Source organism: Homo sapiens, chromosome 12 (assembly GCF_000001405.40).
Source record: "Homo sapiens chromosome 12, GRCh38.p14 Primary Assembly".
Taxonomy (NCBI): domain Eukaryota; kingdom Metazoa; phylum Chordata; class Mammalia; order Primates; family Hominidae; genus Homo; species Homo sapiens.
This window is the reverse complement of record NC_000012.12, coordinates 122,680,372-122,683,176: the sequence shown is the minus strand read 5'-3', so window position 1 is coordinate 122,683,176 and position 2,805 is coordinate 122,680,372. Positions and strand designations below refer to the sequence as shown.

Sequence of the window (2,805 nt, the reverse complement as noted above, 5' to 3'; positions counted from 1 at the left end):
CTCGGCTTCCCAAAGTGCTGGGATTACAGGTGTGAGCCACTGTGCCCAGCCTGTATCAAAAAATTTTTAAACAAAACTGCAAAAATTATTGTAGCCAACCCAGAAAAAAACTCTCCTCAATATTATCTGTTATTATGTCTAATAAAGAATATTCACATAAAGCTCCTAAGAATTATCTTTCTTTGCTTTTTTTATTTTTTCTAAGAGATGGGATCTCCCGGTATTGCCCAGGCTGGTCTCATGCTCCTGGCTTCAAGTGATCCTCCCTGTCCTGGGCTCCCAAAGTTCTGGGATTACAGGCATGAGCTACCATGCCCAGCTCCATCTTTCTAAAACAAAAACTGAATTATGTTTCTTTTCTGCCTCAAAACCCTTCAATCATCAACGACAACAAAAAGTTCAAACCCCCCAGCATGGCTTTCACTCCCAGGCTACATGACCATTCACTCTCTGGCTGGCAGAGGTGAAGAAAAATGGCCTTTGGAATCAGATGTCTCTGGGTTGAAATTTTAGCTTGACCACTCTTTGGGTGGGTTCTGAGAACCCAAAGAAAGTGAGAGAGGCCTATGACTATTTCAGCTCTTGAAACTTCTGGTATTTTTTTTCCATTGAGATATTAATTCACCTACTATAAAATTCCTCCTTAAGCAAAATTGGGGCTGGGCATGGTGGCTCACGCCTGTAATCCCAGCACTTTGGGAGACTGAGGCAGGTGGATCGCTTGAGGTCAGGATTTCAAGACCAGCCTGGCCAACATGGCGAAACTCTGTCTCTACTAAAAATACAAAAATTAGCCAGGAGTGGTGGTGCACGCCTGTAATCCCAGCCACGTAGGAAGCTGAGCACAAGAATTGCTTGAACCCAGGAGGCAGAGGTTGCAGTGAGCCAAGATTGCACCACTGCACTCCAGCCTGGGTGACAGAGTGAGACTCTGTCTCAAAATGAAAAACAAAACAAAACAAAACAAAACAAAACAAAACAAAACAAAACAAAAGGTCATGTTTGCCTGTAGAATACTTTCTTACATGCAGGAGACTTTCTCTTAGACACACGCCTGGAGGCGTCTGAGAGGGACAGGCTGGGCTCACCAATTCGAACTTCTGCCAATGCCCTGCATGTCTCTCTCACTAAGAGCTAAGCCAAGACTTCCCCTGTCATCACCACTGCCTGTGGTCAGTCCTCTATTACCAACAGAGGGAAACAGAATGCAATTGAGGAGAACCAACTAATTGCGAAAGCAAAGCCTGAGAAACCCCATGAGTGATGGATCCACCAATTCTGGTGGCCACAGGGAGGTCCCTGGTGTCTGGCTGCATGCTGGCCATGGTGACCAGGTGTCCTTGGGCAGGAGATGGCTTCAAATGCAGACCGGAGTCCTAGCGATCCAAGTGGTTCTTTGAGAAACCAAAACACCACAAAGCTCCCCCTGGACTGTACCATTGAGCTCTCAATCACAATTCAGCCGAGGACATTGTCTTAGTCCACCAGGGCTGCCATGACACGGTACCATGGGCTGCATGGCTTACAAACAACAGTTCATTTCCCATGGTTGTGGAGGCTGGAAGTCCAAGATCAAGGCGGCAGCAGATTCAGCGTCCGAGGAGGATGGTGAGGACCTGCCACCTGATGCATAGATTTCCTCTCTGTGTCCCCACACAGCACAAGGGAGAAGGGAGCTCTCTGGGGGCCTCTTTGATTAGGGCATGACTCCCATTCCTAAGGGCTGCACCCTGATGACCCGATCGCCTCTCAAAGTCCCTGCCTCCTAATCCTATCATTTAAGGGGTTAGGATTTCAAATTTGGGAGGAAGAGGGGACAGATTCAGACCATAGCAGACAACTACTAAAAGCAAATACTACACTTCATCTTAGCCAAGAGGCCAAGAAGCAATACATTCACTTTTTTTTTTTTGAAACAGGGTCATGCTCTGTCACCCAGGCTGGAGTGCAGTGGTGCAATCACGGCTCATTGCAGCCTCTGCCTCCCGGGCTCAAGTGATTCTCCTGCCTCAGCCTCCTGAGTAGCTGGGATTACAGGCACACGCCACCACGCCTGACTAATTTTTGTAATTTTGTTGAGACAGCCTCCTGAGTAGCTGGGATTACAGGCACACGCCACCATGCCCAACTAATTTTTGTAATTTTGTTGAGACAGGGTCTCGCTATGTTGCCCAGTCTGGTCTCAAACTCCTAGGCTTAAGCAATCTTCCCACCTCAGCCTCCCAAAGTGCTGGGATTACCGGTGTGAGCCACTGTGCCCAGCCAAATTCACTCTTTTAAAGTATACTATTCACTCATTTTTATTATATCCACAAGCTTGTACAATCACCACGACTATCTAATTTCAGAACTTTTTCATCACCCCAAAAAGAAACGCTGTGCCCACTGGCAATCATTCATTCCCCATTCATCCCTTCCCCGCCCCCAGCAAACACCAGTAGATCTATCTCTGGAATCATGATTTATTTTTTTAAATGAAGAAATGCCACAAAAGGATTAGAAAAATTATGGAAGTGGGGCCAGGTGTGGTGGCTCACGCCTGTAATCCCAGCACTTTGGGAGGCCGAGGCAGGCGGATCACAAGGTCAGGAGATCGAGACCATCCTGGCTAACACAGTGAAACCCCGTCTCTACTAAAAATACAAAAAATTAGCCGGGTGTGGTGGCAGATGCCTGTAGTCCCAGCTACTCGGGAGGCTGAAGCAGGAGAATGGCGTGAACCCGGGAGGTGGAGCTTGCAGTGAGCCGAGATTGGTGCCACTGCACTCCAGCCTGGGCGACAGAGCGAGACTCTGTCTCAAAAAA

General features: G+C 47.7%; 1 pseudogene; it reads right to left on the bottom strand.

Moving 5' to 3' along the window:
• Nucleotides 1-1,780: 1,780 nt before the first annotated feature.
• Nucleotides 1,781-1,892, bottom strand: LOC124903124 (uncharacterized; annotated as a pseudogene).
• Between the last annotated feature and the right edge of the window lie 913 nt (nt 1,893-2,805).